Source organism: Homo sapiens, chromosome 14 (genome assembly GCF_000001405.40).
Source record: "Homo sapiens chromosome 14, GRCh38.p14 Primary Assembly".
NCBI lineage: Eukaryota > Metazoa > Chordata > Mammalia > Primates > Hominidae > Homo > Homo sapiens.
In genome coordinates, this window is record NC_000014.9 from 75,547,611 (window position 1) to 75,564,258 (window position 16,648).

Below are 16,648 nucleotides of genomic sequence, written 5' to 3' on the forward strand. Positions count from 1 at the left end.
CATTCTTCACTGCTTTCTAGACCATGAGCAGGTTGTCCCCTAGTCCGGGAGAAGGCCCAGTGCAGGATGGCCTCACCTGGTGAGGTGGTAAGTCAGGTTGACCTTCTCGTCTCCCACTCATGACTCCACTCACCCAGCCAACTGGCTCCATCCTGACAGCCAAGTCTCCGGATGCTGCAACCAGGCCCTGTGCCAGGCTGCCCTTCACATGGAAGGCGGTGTCTTCCTAATGCTCTCAAGGGGCAACATGCAGCTTGGGTCCACAGGGACTTCTCTGCCAGTGGTGTACATGTCCTGCTGAAGACTCCACCTCCCTTAGAAGGCGGTGATACAGAGCACAGGACTTGTCCTGTCCCCGCAGGGCTCCGCAGGCTGCCATTTGAGCACTTTGAGGGCTCAGGGAACACAGGGTCATCTTCAGTTTGGCAGAGCCTGAAACCAGCATGCTCCACCCCCCTGCTCTTCAGAGATCCCCAGGCCAAGTGCCTGCTGGCCTGCCTGACACAGCCTTACCCACACCACTGCCCACGAGCAAAGCCTGCAGCAGGGCCTGGCCACACACAACCCCTGCTGAGCCAGCTGGAGACAAAAGCAACGGAGATCATTGTGCCAGGCGCCCACCTGATTGAGCTCCTTCAGTAGCCACCCTCAGTCTCATCCATTTGTCCTTTAGAGGGACAGCCTCTGCCTGCTGCCTCCCCGGTGGCATCCCTCATGGGGTGACAGAAGGGAGGAGAAGTCCTGCTTCCCTGTGTCAGTGCCCCCTGAACCCGCTGGCCAACCACTCTGGCCGGTTTGAGGCCAAGTTTCAACTCTAGACCTCCCCTGTGTGTGTCTCTCCTGCCCCTCTCAGATGATGCCAGTGTTGGGCTATTGTGATTATTAAATGCCATAGAAGTTTGGATGAGCTGCATCCCAGCAGGTGGTGGGGTCACAGCCCCTTGGGAGGAGTCCAACCCAACAGCCTCTGATGGCACATTGCAATCTTTGGGGCTCTCACCAGAGAAGCTGGTGCCCATGGGAGCCTAGGATGTGGACACTGGGCTGAGCCCCGTAATTCAGAGCCTGGGAAGACAGCCCAGAAGACGTTCCCTGAGTGCTGGCATTTCTCCCAGCACAGAATCTTGCATTGTAACCTTTGGTCTCCCAACGAAACGTGGCAAAACAGGCTCCCCTTTCAGTGCAGAGCCTCCATGTGGACTGGGCAGATGTGTCATGAGGAGGAGCTTTCTTAATTTCCTTCAGAACCTGGATTTTGGTAGCTAACGCTCTGTCTAGCTCTTTCCCACCCCTCTGTTAACGAGAAGAGCAAAGAAGCCGATCTTCACTTCAGATGTTGCAGTCATAAAATATAATTCATTTTTCTTTCATAATTATTATTTTTTCTTTTTTTGAGACACGGTCTCACTCTGTCACCCAGGCTGGAGTGCAGTGGTGCAATCATGGCTCACTGCAGCCTTGACTACCCACACTCAAGCGATCCTCCCACCTCAGCTTCCCAAGGTGTTGGGATTACAGGCATGAGCCATTGCACCTGGCCTTCTTTCACGATCTAAAGACGTAGAACTTTGAGTCCAGCTTTCTTTGCTACTATCTCTGCCAGGGCCTGGCCTCTTGTGGGCAGGCTTTCTTTGAATCAGAGATTTTCATCTCCACCCATGCTCTAGCACTGTGATTTTCCCCAGAAACCCCCACAGAAGGCACATGACTTCTGCCGGCATCTTCTGAATGACATTCAGGGCCAGAACTAGAAAAGCAGAGTTCACGTGCACGGTTCCCATCTCTCAGCAAGGACTTCTCTTCCCCTTTCATTCTCTACTTTCTACTGACCCCAGGCAGTTCCACTTCTCCTGTCTAGTCAGCCCGGTAGAGGTAGCAGGTAGCTGAGCCTGGAGCTGGTGCCAAGGCTGACTTCATGTCCATGCAGGCAAATTGGAGAGGCAGCCATGAATAGAAATTTGAACATCCGTAGCTTTAACCTTGGATGTTTCACCAACCAGGTTCTGTCCCAGCCTTCTACCCATGACAGGGATGGCTCCCTCAGTCTGGTGGGCCACTTGACCCACACTCAAACGCCTTCTACCCAGGCAGGCACTGTGAAAGCATGGGACCCACTGGATGTAGGGCAATTGGGAGTGGTGGAGAATGTGGCAAACTAAGGAGAGTGTGCAGCTGTCTGTCGTTCAGTTCTCTCCCATGGTGCCATGTGGGAATTTAGGCCTGGGCTTGCCATGTCTTCCAGTTTGTCAAGAAAAGCCAAAATCAGAATTTCTACATGAAATCTCTCAATTCTTTTTTTCTTCCCTTCCCTTTCTTCCTCCCTCCCTCCCTCCTTCCTTCCCTTCCTCCCTCCCTCCTTCCCTCCCTCCCTTCCTTCTTTCTTTTTTTCTTTCTTTCTTCCTTCCTTCCTTTTTTTCCTTTCTTATTCCTTTCTTCCTTTCTTTCCTCCTTTCTTTTTGCTTTCTTTCTTTCTTTCTTTCTTTCTTTCTTTCTTTCTCTCTTTCTCTCTTCTTTTCTTCTTTTCTTTCTTTCTTTTCTGACAAGGTCTCACTCTGTGGCCCAGGCTGGAGTGCAGAGCTGCTGTCATAGCTCACTGCAGCCTCGACCTCCTGGGCTCAAGCAATCCTTCCACCTCAGCCTCCCAAGTAGCTGGGACTACAGGGGCATGCCACCACACCCAGCTATTTTTTTATTTTTGTTTTTTTCATTTTTCTGTAGCAAGGGGATCTCATTATATTGCCCAGACTGATCTTGAACTCTTGGCCTCAAGCCATCCTCTCATTTCAGCCTCCCAAAATGTTGGGATTACAGGCATGAGCCACCACATCCAGCCCATGTGTCTAAATAAAATACTTAAAACATTATAAATCAAGCTTACAAGTTGTTAACAAAACACATTCTTTTCTTCTTCCTTGACAAGGATACTTTCATCACAACCTAAAAGGCCAAGTTTGAACTCAGAATTCTTAGACACTTCAAAATTTTATATTAGCACAAGGTAGTGAGAAAGAAGCAGTACCCGGACTGCAGCTTGCCGCTTTCTTGCCCTCCCCTGGTTCTTCCTGTACCACAGCAGCCTCCAGTTCATGCCGGCGGACATGCCAGCCTGGAAGACCAAATTCCGTCCACATTCACCCCCACAGGACCCATCCCTTGGGTCCAGAGATGCACATACCAGTGGTCTGGTCCACACTCGGGAAGAAGTATCCAGGGAAGAGGCTTCAGCTCCTGGAAGCCAGCCCAGGGCCAGTTACTAAGGGGATTCTGGTGTCCTTGGAATGTTGGGCACAGTCTAAAGGGGGACACAGGGTTCTAGGTAGGTGTCTCCTTAGTTCTAAGGACTTTTTGCCCCAACAAGAGGAGCGTAGCAGGAGGAATGGCAGTGCTAGTCCCTGCATTGTCGGGAGTTCAGAGCAGAGACGTCTTTTGTCCAGGTCTGAAGGTGGCACTGCAGAGACCTGCCCATTTGCAACTCTGATCTAGGTCAGCAATATCTCCTGGAAAAGCCCAGGCTACAGGAAGGCCCTGTGTAGCAAGAAATGGACACAAGACAGCGTCGTCAACATCTGTCACATTGAAATGCGGGTTCCTGGAGAATGTTAGTTTCCCCACCTGCCATCCTCTGCATTTATCTCTTACTAGCAGTGTCATTCCCTGAGTGAGTGTCAGAGCAAATTACGAGAAAGCCAGATCTTCAGTCCTCAGGATGAGAAGTGTGGGTGGGGAGAGAAAGGGAGGCAAAGTCAACTCAAAGGTCACGAAGTTGCCGTCTGCTGGACCAAAACTTACCAGCAGTTTATTAATACCTCCAGCCGATGTTACAGTTGTGGCTTTACGGGGAAGGAGGTGAGACTACTGGATGCCCCACTTCTCTTGGGGACAGATAGGCTATCTCTATTTCTCTTCCTTCTTCCCCACGGGTTCAGTGCTCCAAAGCTGCTTGGGAATTCCAAGGGGGAGAAAGGGCTAGTGAACTAAGATCAACACCAACGTAGTAAAGATTTAATACTCGTTTCTGCCAGAGGAGACTGTCATTTTAAGAGACACCTAGGAGCTCAAGGCTATAGTGAGCTATGATTGCATCACTGCACTCCAACCTGGGCAACAAAGCGAGATGCAAAACCCTGTCTCTAAAACAAAAAAGAGAGATGCCTAGAGAAAGTAACACTTGACCCAAAGGAAAGAGTTTTTATGGTAGCATTTTAGGCTTTGTAGCAAGTGAGCAGAGGAGATATTTAATGGAATTCTTGCCATGGGAATGACATGTGACTGCATTGGCCTCATGTAGATACCAGAGGAGTGGGAGATGGGGATGGGAGGGAAAGAGAGATGTAGCCCTTCTAAAACTCTTGTGGGTTTGTGTGTGTGTGTGTGTTTTTTTTTTTTGACTGAGTCCCACTCTGTTGCCCAAGCTGGAGTGCAGTGGTGCGATCTCGGCTCACTGCAACCTCCACCGCCCGGATTCAAGCAATTCTCCTGTCTCAGCCTCCTGAGTTGCTGGGATTACAAGCATGCGCCACCACGCCCAGATAATTTTTTTTTTTTTTTTTTTTTTTTTTTTTTGTGGAGATGGTGTTTCACCATATTGGTTAGGCTGGTCTTGAAAAATCTTGTTTTTTAACCACCTGATATGTGATTTAATTTAATCACTTATAGGAAGATAAAATAAAAACCTGATCCTGGTTTGAACAATCTACTGGTAGGTAGAGATGAAGAGCCCCCTTTTAGAGGACTTCAATAGGAAAATTTGCACAAATACCTTTGCTACCCAGGAGGTTTCTTTGGCTTCCTCTGGAAGATTCCTGTAGACAGATTGCTGAGTTTGTCATTACACCTAGAAACCAAGGCTAGGAGGGGTAGCTGAGACTGATAATTGCCCTCCCAAAGCTATTCTTCCATTTTTCCTTACTACGGAACTCTTGTTTTGTCTAAGATGGCAATATGCCTAGAGAAAAGATTACATATCCCAGATTCCTTTGATGTTTGGGATGGCCATATGGCACAGTTCTGGCCAAAGAGATATGCAAGAATTTGCTAGGTAAGACTTTTATGGGAAAGCTCTTCAAAAGGTGGGGCTGTCTCAGTTGGCACATGCCTTTCTCCTCCTTTCTGTCTGGAAGGCAGATATGGTGTTAGAGGTGAAGCAACCGTGTACACAAAGGAGGAAGAGATTCTGCGTCCCTGGTAATACTGCAGAAGTGTGAAGATGATAGAAGCTCCAGCTGGCCCACTTCTAGACGGCTTCTAAGTGAAAGTGGAAAAGAGTTTATTTGGTTACATCACCTTGAGTTGGGTTTTCTAAGTGCAGCTTAACTCAATTCTGTCTAATGCAGGAGCCAATGGAACAACCAAATAAGGAATTTAAACAATTCCCCTAGCTCAGTGGTTCCTAACTGGGGGTGATCCTCCCCATTCCCCAAGATATTTGACAATGTCTGGAGATATTTTTAGTTGTTACAGCTTGGGAGAGAGGTACTAGTAACATCTAGTGGGAAGAGGCCAGAAATGTTGTTGCTAAGCATGCTGCAATGCACAGGGCACACCCCACAAACAATAATCCAGCTCAAAACATCAGTAGTACAGAGGTGGAGCACCCCTGCAGCTGGCCCTACTGCTTCTAGGGCACCAGCCCATCAGGCCACCAACCTACCCTGACACGCTTGTCCATCCCTTTCTCAGAAACAAACCCTGTGTATTGACCAGGCTGAAAAAGCCACGTCCTTCACCGTATCTGGCACTTTCCTCTCTCTAAGCCTTTGCTCATGCATCATTTCCTCTGCCTAGAATCTCCCTCTCATCTTCTCAGGTGGGGACCATGACTCTTCATTTTTTTTTTTTTTTTTTTTTTGAGATGGAGTCTTGCTCTTGTCACCCAGGCTGGAGTGCCGTGACGCAATCTTGGCTCTCGGCTCACTGCAACCTACACTTCACAGGTTCAAGTAATTCTCCTGCCTCAGTCTCCTGAGTAGTTGGGACTACAGGTGTCTGCCACCACACCCAGCTTTGCTTTGTGTTGGGAACATTCAAAATCCTCTCTTCTAGCTATTTGAAAACATACAATAAGTTATTGTTAACTGTAGTCACCCATCAGTGCTAAGACACTAGGACTTATTCCTCTCATTTAGCTGTAATTTGGTATTCTTTAACCATCCTCTCATTATGTCGTCCTCATCTCTGCCCTGCCTTTCCAGCCTCTAGTAACCACTATTCCACACTTTACTTCTATGAGTTCAACTTCTTTAGCTTCTGCATGTGAGTGAGAACATGTGGTGTTTATCTTTCTGTGTCTGGCTTATTTCACTTAACATAATGTCCTCCAGGCTCATCTATGTTGCTGCAAATGACAGGATTTCATTCTTTTTTATGGCTAAATAATATCGCATTGTGTATATGTACCACATTTTATCTGTTCATCTGTTGGTGGATGCTTGGGTTGATTCCATATAGTACTTTGCATTGTTGCTTTTTAATGTGCATAGAAGATAAGGAATACAGGAGTAAAAGAGTTTGGAGGCAAAAACTCAAACTGTGTTTTTCCTCTGCTCTCACACCACTCTGCAATCAACACAGATGACTTCTGTGACCAAATGTGGGGAGTTTTCCCCATACACCGAGCAAGCAATCAGTTCTGCAGCAGACACCAGCTGAGTATCCTCCAATTCAGTTCTGACCCTGTCTGCCTGGAGATAGCATCAGCTCCTACAGGTTGAGAGCTCAATCCCACAAGACTCCAACCAACTTCAGATGCCAGTCGCAAGTCCAGGCATCCAGAACTTCTGGCCACTGGCTTCAAGTTAGGTTCCCACGACCCTCTCTTTGGATTGGACAAATGTGCTAGAATGGCTCAAAGAACTCAGGGAAACACTTACATTTACTGGCTTATTATAAAGGATATTGCAAGGGATACGGATGAGATGCATAGGGTGAGGTACGGGGGAGGGGTGCAGAGCTTCCATTCCCTCCTTGGGTGTGTCATCCTCCAGGAATCTTCTTGTGTTCAGCTATTCAGAAACTCCCCAAACCATGTCCTCTTGAGCTTTTTATGGAGACTTCATTGGAGAGCCATGATTGACAATCATGTAGAAATGCAGCTGGACAAAAAGGGTCCAATTACATGATCTAGTATGAGTCACATGATCTAATACTAACAGGCTAAGCAGAGAAACCCAGCAAGACCTGTCTGTGCAGATTCTTTTTGGCCTCTCTGTGTAGCATTCCTTCCTTCAGGGTATGCAGCAGGACTGCTTCTGAAGTGAGGGTCTTATGACCACAATCAGAAAAGGGGAGGAAGATTAGGGTCCTGCTTTGCACTAGGGAAAGAAGGGTAGAGAAAAGTCAGAGATAAATTTTGTTTTTTAAGGCCTGCCTCTGAGGACTGAAGTGCCCAACATTATTAAAAAAAAAAAAAAAGACTGTAACAAGGTGTTATATCACAGAGATAAATAAGACCTCTGTGTTATCCAAACCCAAGATTGGCTGTACTCTTCTTTTGCTTAAAAAACATATATATTTAAATTAATAAAGCTTGGCAAATATAGAGTATAGACACTGAAGTTTGGAGGCCTACAAGCATTCATGAAATTTCATCTTTTCATTTTCTCAATAAAGCATCTCTCTCAATCCATTTGTGTTGCTATAAGAAAATACCTGAGATTGGGCAATTTATACATAAAAAAGATTTATTTGGCTCTATGGTTCTGCTGTCTGGAAAAAATCGGGCACCCGGTGAGGGCCTCAGGGTGCTTCCACTTGTGGTGGAGGTGAAGGGGAGCATGTGTGTGCAGAGATCACACAGTGAGAGAGGAAGCAAGAAAGAGCAAGATGGAAGGGGCTGGGCTCTTTTTAACAATCAACTCTTGTGGGAACTAATAGAGTGAGAACTCACTCAACCCCCACCCCAGGGAGAACATTAATCTATTCATGAGGGGTCTACCCCATGATCAAAACTCCTCCCATTAGCATCCCACCTCTGAGTTTGGGATCAAATTTCAACATGAGGTTTGGTGGGGTAAACATCCAAGCTATAGCAGCATCCATGTGTGGAAAGTTAAGAGCATCTTTTTTTTTTTTTTTTTTTGAGACATGGTCTTGTTCTGTCACCCAAGCTAAAGTGCATGGCTCACTGCAGCCTCAAACTCCTGGGCTCAAGCAATCCTACCACCTCAACCTCCTGAATAGCTGGGACTACCAGTGAGTGCCACCATGCCTGGCTAATTTTGTGTGTGTGTGTGTGTGTGTGTGTGTGTGTGTTTTCAATAGAGATAGGGTTTCACCATGTTGCTCAGTCTTGTCTTGAACTCCTGGACTCAAGTGATCCACCTGCCTTGGCCTCCCAAAGTGCTGGGATTGCAGGTGTGAGTCACTGCACCCAGCCAAAAGCATCTTATCTTCTTTCTCTATCTTGTGGCATGTGAAGATACTGATACTAAACTTTGCCAATCATCTTTCAACTTGCAGCCATACACATAGGTACCCATTCCTAGGGATCAGCTCTTCATATCTGGGCCATGGGAGCTGTGAAATTAGATTGCGAGTCACATTAGCACCACGTCAATCCTCTCCACCCCAACCACCATTAGCACATCTTCTCTAAGTGAAGTCAGCATTATTCACATAAAATGTTATCCATTGACTACTGGTGCACAGTGTGATTGGGGTTTATGAGTTACTCGGGGTGATTATATGATGAAGACTCAATTCTTAGTGGGGGCGCTGGAGACCTTGCACCCTCTGTCCCCCAGCTCACTTCATATCACCCTCTTTTCCTCTGCACTGGCATCTGTCCCTTCCCCAAATCTCTGCGTGCTCCCTCCAGCCCAAGAGCCTTGCTCATTCTGCTCAGCCCTAACTGAAATGCTCTTACCCTTCTAGCTCATTCATTCCTACCTTTTGTCAAATACCAGCTTGGGGAAATTTTGCTTGATTCCCAGGCTAGATCAGAACTGCAATTTCAAATAGTTTCATAGCACCTCATGCCCTTCCTTTATACCCATTAACACAGACTGAAAATTTACATTTATCTATGTGGTTATTTGGTTAACATTTGTCTCTGTGACTGGACCATCCATTCTATAATGTCAGGGATTGCCAATGTTTTGCTCACCATTGTATTCTCAGCTCCTTGCACAGTAGCAAAGAGCCTACCACAGAGTAGAAATTCAATAAATATTCATTGGCTGAATGAATAAATGGATGGATGGATGGAACACAGTGCCTGCCTTCTAGGAATGTAAAATCCAAGCCAATTATTATTCTGACGATGGAATACAAATGACAAAATAAATATTCAGTTAACATATAAAAAGTAAGAATCAATCAGATATTTTAAGAGCAGGAATCAAGGGAAGGCATGTATTCTTGTGAAGATGGTAGAGATTAGGGATAGAGTCCCAGGTGGGGCTGGAAGAGGCGAGGGCAGGGAACTGTGTCTCCTCAGTCACAGTGTTATCTAGCTTTTAGTCTGTGTCTAGCTGTCACCTATTAGACAGAGGGAAAGACCAGGATCAAAGTAAAAGCAAGTTGGAATCCTGCACAAGGCCCTGTAGAAATAGATTAGCCCCAGTCCACCCTCATCGCCTATTTTCTATTACTCCAAATCCTGCTTCCATGGTAATGGAAGCTGGTTGGCCTGCCTTGCTGGTGGTTCATGCCTCTACACCCTACAAACACGAACACAACCTACGTACTGCTGTAATTGAATACCACAGACTCAGTAATTTACAAAGAAATGAAATTTATTTCTCACAACTCTGGAGGCTGGCCAGTCCAAGAGCATGGCACCAGTATCTGGCCAGGGTCATCCCATGGCAGAAGGGTGGAAGGCAGAAGTGAGCACATGAGACAGAGAGGGGAGCAGACCAAACTCCACCTTTTTATCAGGAACCCACTCCTGCAACAACCAACTCATTCCTGTGATAATGGCGTTAATCTATTCATGAGAGTGGAGCCCTCATGAGCTAATCACCTCTTAAAGGTCCTGCCTCTCAACACTGTTTCAATGGCAATTAAATTTCAGTATGAGTTTTGGAGGGCACATTCAAACCGAAGTGGCTCCAACCCCACATTTTCACTTGGGATTGCCCTAGTGGGGACTCTCTGAGGTGACCGTTCCCCTGAAGCAGATTTCTACTTGAGCTTCCAGGTGATCCATGACATCCTTTGAAATCTAAGCAGAGGAAGCCATGCTTCTATAGCCCTTGCATTTTGCATCCTTGCAGACTTAACACCAAATGTTTGCCATCAAGGTTTACCACCTATTCTTTCTGGAGCACCCAGGCTGCTTGAGCCACAGCTGGGAGGGCTGAGAGGCACTGTGCTGAAATTCAGGGAGCAGAGAGAGAGAGTTTCACTTTGTCACCCAGCCTGGAGTGCAGTGGCATGATTATAACTCACTGCAGCCTCGAACTCCTGGGCTCAAGGGATCCTCCTTCCTCAGCCTTCCAAGTAACTGGGACTACACATGCCACCACACCCAGCTAATTAAATTTTTTTTTTTTTTTTTAGAGATGAAGTTTCACTACATTGCCCAGGCTAGTGTTGAACTCCTAACCTCAAGTGATCCTCCTGCCTCAGCCTCCTGAGTTGCTGGGATTACAGGTGTGAATCACCATGCCCAGCTTGGGTAATTTGTAGGGAAAAAAAATTATTTCTCATAGTTCTGGAGGCTGGGAAATCCAAGAGCATGGCGCCAGCATCTGGCAAGTGTTATCCCATGGCAGAAGGGTGGAAGGTGGAAGCAAGCACATGAGACAGAAAGGGAAGTGAGCCAAACTCGTCTTTTTTATTGGGAACCCACTCCAAAGATAAACCCGCTTCTGTGACAATGACATTAATCGAGGGACCCATTAATCCATGAGGGCTCTGTCCTCATGACCGAATCACTTCTTAAAGGCCCCGCTTCTCAACTCTGTTACAATGGCAATTAAATTTCAACACGAGTTTTGGAGGAGACATTTAAACCACAGCAATCATTGAGAGAAGATGACAGAGACCAGATATCTACTTACATCGTGCCCAAAACCCCCAGTGGTGACTCATGGTGGACAGTTAAATGGCTGTCCAGATAGGCCATTCACTAACCCATGAGTGAGGGCAGAGACTATCTGTGTCTTGTTTACTGCTATATTCCTAGTGCCCAGCAGAGCAGATATGTGATATTTATAGGTTTGATAAATGAATTAATTAATCATAAATATAAATAATTCATTCATTCATATATTCTCAAGCCTTGTCTACTTCAGGTTGAGAATTTTGAGTTTGGACTGTGACTAAATTACCTATGGCTCCCTCAAAGGTTTGTGTCTCATTGTTTATCCCCAGGGGGTGGGGGAACAAGTCCATAAGAGCCCTAAATGCCCAGGAAGCAGGACTGACTGGGATGATCTGGTGGCCTCAGGAAGGTCACTGCACTACTATAATGGGGATCTAGTTCTGTCTGGGTCTAAAACCTGGGGCTGAAGGCAAGATGTCACGGAATTGTGACCTAGAGCTGAGATGCACCTGATTACAGTGACCCCCACACACTTTTTTTTTTGCTACCCAGAATCCATTTCTTCTCCTTCTCCTTCTTCTCCTCCTCCTCCTCTTCGTCCTCCTCCTCCTCCCCTTTCTCCTCCTCCTCCTCCTCCCCTTTCTCCTCCTCCTCCTCCCCTTTCTCCTCCTCCTCCTCCTCTTTCTCCTTCTTCGAGATGGAGTCTCACTCTGTCACCCAGGCTAGAGTGCAGTGGAGTAATCTCGGCTCACTGCAACCTCCAACTCCCGGGTTCAAGTGATTCTTCTGCCTCAGCCTCCTGAGTGGCTGGGATTACAGGTGCATGCCATCACGCCTGGTTAATTTTTATATCTTTAATAGAGATGGGGTTTCACCATGTTGGCCAGGCTGGTCTTGAACTCCTGACCTCAAGTGATCCACCCGCCTAGGCCTCTCAAAATGCTGGTATTATAAGCGTGAGCCACTGCGCCCCGGCTCTATTACTCCTTCTTCTGACAAAGCATCTGCATTTCCTTTCTATGTGTAGAGCTGTCAATCAAGGTGTCTTCTCTGCCTTATCTGGCCAAGATACAACCAAACACCCAGACTGGGCCAATCAGACTACTGGGAATCTCGCTTTGGAGCAGAGCAAAGAAAAGACCCAGAAGATGTTTGGAGCCCCTCTACTCTAACTGTGAAGCCCTGGCCAGAGAGAGAATTCCTGTGGTGGAGAATTGTCCTGGCTTCTGCCTTGTTCTGGGCCTTGTTCTCTGGGCTTCTTTTGAATTCTGTGAGCCACATACATCCTTCCAATACATTCATTTACTGCTGATGTCAACCAGAGTAAGCTTCTATTGTGAAACCAAAAAAATGGTGACTCATTGTACCTGGGTTTCCCAGAGAGGGGGCGAGGGGGCAGGGCACTGCATCCTAATTCTCAGGGGCTAACAGGAGTAGACTGCTTTCTGAGAGGGTTTGAGGGTGTTCTGTGCTCCACCAGAAACTGGGCATGCAGCCAGAACCACACCAGCCTCTGGATTGCCCAACCTGGATACTACCCATTACTGCTTCTGGAAGGAACCCCAGGCTCTAATTTGAAAACCATCACTGGGAGTTGCAACTCAGCCTCCAGGCTTCACTCCCCATCCTCTTCAGTCCATTCTATGAGGAGCTCAGCCCATCAGCTAAAAGGCAATATTCAAAATCCAGGCCAGGCACTGGCAGTCAGAATGGGGTCGGAGCTGGAGCAGGGTGAAGGCATGCGTCTGCGTTGTTGCATGGAGGGGCACTAGGGTAGGGGCTATCAGTCAGCCAGATGTACATATTTTAATATTTCAACAGCCAGTTCAACTGCACCGGTGCGCACCATCTCGCTATCAGCTTAGCACCTACAGGACTGTGGGGGTCTTGGAGGGAGGGACTCTCCAGTGTGTTCTTGTAATTCTCCTCGCCTCTCCCTCTTCTTCCCCACCTGTCTCTGCCTCGCCAGAGGTTTGCACAGAGCAGATGATTAACATATTTGTAAATAAAAATCCCAAGATAGAAGAAAGAAAATGAAGAGGAAGAGAATGGGTGCAAGGAGGGGAAGGAAGATTAAAAAGTTGGGTCTGTTCTAAAAAAAAAATCACACCATGGACCATTCCTCCTGCCGCCTCACTCCCCCACCCCAAAGTGTTCATCTACATATGCTCATTTAAAATAAGCATTAGGGGCACCCTTGAAAGAAAAGAAAAGTGCAAAATAAAGGTGATGTATGAAAGAGTGAGGGGTCATCTTGCTAGGGGCAGGGATGATACTGGCTGCCATTTATGATCTCATTTTCTGTTCACTCTATTATTTTAGGAAAGATTATTATCCCCATTTTACAGATAAAGAAAGACTCCGAAGAGGCTAAATGGTTTGCCCAAGGTCACACAGTTAAACGTGGAGATGGGACTCAACCTCTCTTTGGCTGCTTGCAAAGTTGGAGCTATATATAGCAAGCGCAAGCGCACCTGGGGAACTCCCCACATTCCAGGATTACAGCCAGGACCATTGGGACAGCGGTCCCGGGTTGGTGCTGCCACCTAGTGACAGAGAACTGCAGAGATCAACTTTCCTCCCTCTCCTCCGTTCCCCCTCCCTCCTGCATCCTCCTTTCCCAGCTTGAGAGAGTCCTGAACCATGGCAGCCAACCATCACTTGTTTGGGCAGAAGCTTGAATACAGAGAATTGACCTCTAGATGCAAGCTGGCGCCTCATTCAGCTTCCTCACTCTATCCTAGGGCATAGCTCTGAAGAGATGTTTGGGTGAGTGACCAGGAATGCAAATCTGCACAGATTTGGGCATCAACCTGGTTTCCAAACACAAGCTCTGCAGATATTTTACTGTGAAACTCCGGGTAGCCGTGAACAGGATGTTGGCTACATCCTGTTTTAGGGTGATAACTACGTTGTACCTGCACAGTCCCAATCATTGAATACCTGCTAGCTCCCCGGTAACATGTTAATAGCAGCCTCTCATTTCCTTTTTGCCCTATCTTTTTTCCTTTTATTTTAGATTCAGGGGTACATGTGCAGGCTTGTTACATAGGTAAATTGCATGTCACGGGGGTTTGGTGTATAGATTATTTCATCACCCGGGTAATACACGTAGTACCTAATACCTGATAGGTAGTTTTTCAGTCTTCACCCTCTTCCTGCCCTCCACCCTCGAGTAGGCTCCAGTGTCTGTTTGTCTTATCTTTGTGTCCTTAGCTCCCACTTACAAGTGAGAATATGCAGTATTTGTTTTTCCATTTCTGTGTTAGTTCGCTCAGGGTAATGGTCTCCAGCTCCATCCATGTTGCTGCAAAGGACATGATCTTGTTCCTTTTTATGGCAGCATAGTATTCCATGGTGTATATGTACCACATTTTCTTTATTCAGTCTATAGCTGATGGGAACTTAGATGGGTTCCGTCTCTTTGCTATTGTGAATAGTGTCTAATTTTATGTGAAGCCCAAACACCAACACATGTTGCCCAAGCTCACTGAGCAAGGCCTTCAGCCCTGATCTTCAGACTCCAAGTGCAGTGCCCTTCCTACTCCGCTGCCCTGTGCTGTGCCCCGCTCCCCCACAATTCAACTCACCCTGTGAAACCTTGTTTTTGTCAGCCTAGTCATCCAGACATGATGACTCAAGGGTCGCTGTGGAACAGGCTGTCAGGGGAGGACCTGTGTCAGCACAGTGGCTTTCTTGACCTTTATGGCAGTGGGGAGTTACCTCAGTCTAAAACGTGTGGCTGCCAAGTGACTTCAGTCTCAACTGAAGCACGGACATGATCGATGGGCAGATAAGGAAAGCCATTCCCACTCCCTGAGCTTTCCACACCTCCTTCAGCGTCTTCTCTCTTCTCCTAAGTCCAAGATCACCTGGAACATAGAAGCCACGGGTTAAAATTTTTCATTCAGACCTGGCTCTCAGAATCTTGTTGCAAATGGAGAATAAAGGGTCACCTCTAGAAGGCAAAGTGGTCTCACCAAATATGTGCCTCACCCTGTCCACAATTAATCTAGTAATGTCTCTGTCTAGTCCTGCATAATTTGTGTCAGGAAATCCACTTTAGTTACCCATAGTGATGAAATAAACACAACAGTCAGATCTGCACCTAGCACAGTGTATATAGTCAGGGCAGATACTAGGTGACAAGCTCGAAGTAGATTTTTAAACCTGAAATGTATAGATTATCCATCTAAACCGTGATTTATTTCATCTGGGGGTCATTGGGCTGCTTTGACTATCTGATGAAACTGTGGACTCCCCCGCCTCTCCCTTTATAAAACATGTTTCTTTTTTCTTTCTTTCTTTCTTTTTTTTTTTTTTTCGAGACAGAGTTTCATTCTTGTTGCCCAGGCTGGAGCACAATGGCGTGATCTCAGCCCACTGCGACCTCCACCTCCTAGGTTCAAGTGATTCTCCTGCCTCAGCTTCCCAAGTAGCTGGGATTACAGGCATGCACCACCACGCCTGGCTAATTTAATTTGTATTTTTAGTAGAAACAGGGTCTCCCCATGTTGGTCAGGCTGGTCTCAAACTCTTGACCTCAGGTGATCCACCCCCTTCAGCCTCCCAAAGTGCTGAGATTACAGGTGTGATCCACCATGCCCAGCCAAAACACATGTGTATTAATCAATTTGGATGATATGATTTCAGGGGTTTGCAGGATTCTGAAACCCATTCGTAGACCCTTAGATAAAAACTCTTCATCAGTCAACACAGCAGTCACCCAAGACTCAAGAAACAGAGCTGCTGGTAGCAAGCATGGCCCAGGACATCGGCATTGGATTGGAGTGCAGAAGCTCCCAGGTCGCCACAGTGTGGTGAGCCAGGAGGGCCTCACACTCCCAGGAGAAAGCCTACTCCACGTGAGGCAGAATCTTTGACTCGGGCCGTTTCCATCTGTCCACTCTGACACAATGTGTCATTAATGGTGAGCAGGAAGGAGTGGAGACGAAGGATGCAAAGAGGTTCGGGAACTGGATGAAGATTTATGTTATGTACATTACTTGATAACATTTTTTAAAAGGTTGAAAGCTTAATAGATTTTTTAAATGATGTACTCTAAAGATGTCCTTCTGATTATAGGTGCGGTTGCTCACACCTGTAATCCTAGCACATTGCGAAGCCAAGGTGGTTGGATTGTTTTGAGTTCAGGAATTGGAAACCAGCCTGGGCAACATAGTGAGACTCCGTCTTTACAAGAAGAAAGTTAAAAAAAATTAGCTGTATGTGGTGCATTCTTATAGTCCTAGCTACTCAGGAGGCTAAATTGGGAGGATTTCTTGAGCTCAGGAGTTCAAGGCTGCAGTGAGCTATGATGATACCACTGCACTCCAGCACAGGTGACAGAGCAAGATCCTGCCTCTTTAATAAATGCTTGAAACGCTTCAACAGCAAACAAATAAATAAAAATGTCTGTTTAATAAACGCTTTCATGCTAAAGTAGCCACGTGTCCTCTGAGGGCCGCAAATGCAGGATTAGGCAAACCTGTGTGAGATGACTGGCAGCCAGGGAATATGATCCTCAGGACATATGAACCTTTCTGCCTGCTTTCCCAAAACAAATAACCTCTTTTATACCTTGACTGATGACTGAAATCCTATTCTTAGAACTTTGTTCCTATGATGTAAGGTATTTATCACCCACCAGGTGCCTGC

At 46.6% G+C, this 16,648-nt stretch overlaps 1 long non-coding RNA gene across 1 annotated transcript, besides 3 other annotated features; it reads left to right on the forward strand.

The window, feature by feature from the left end:
• Positions 1,548-1,797: an enhancer, noted in NCBI's record as "active region_8757". NCBI's record gives its function as "activates an Ori minimal core promoter by ATAC-STARR-seq in GM12878 lymphoblastoid cells {active_cell/tissue: GM12878}" and the evidence as "EXISTENCE:reporter gene assay evidence [ECO:0000049][PMID:35858748]".
• Positions 10,561-12,308, forward strand: LOC107984653 (uncharacterized). The gene is made up of 2 exons (XR_001750830.1): positions 10,561-10,596; positions 12,018-12,308. It is a non-coding gene; the product is annotated as an uncharacterized LOC107984653 (long non-coding RNA).
• Positions 12,202-12,361: an enhancer, noted in NCBI's record as "active region_8758". NCBI's record gives its function as "activates an Ori minimal core promoter by ATAC-STARR-seq in GM12878 lymphoblastoid cells {active_cell/tissue: GM12878}" and the evidence as "EXISTENCE:reporter gene assay evidence [ECO:0000049][PMID:35858748]".
• Positions 14,667-14,746: an enhancer, noted in NCBI's record as "active region_8759". NCBI's record gives its function as "activates an Ori minimal core promoter by ATAC-STARR-seq in GM12878 lymphoblastoid cells {active_cell/tissue: GM12878}" and the evidence as "EXISTENCE:reporter gene assay evidence [ECO:0000049][PMID:35858748]".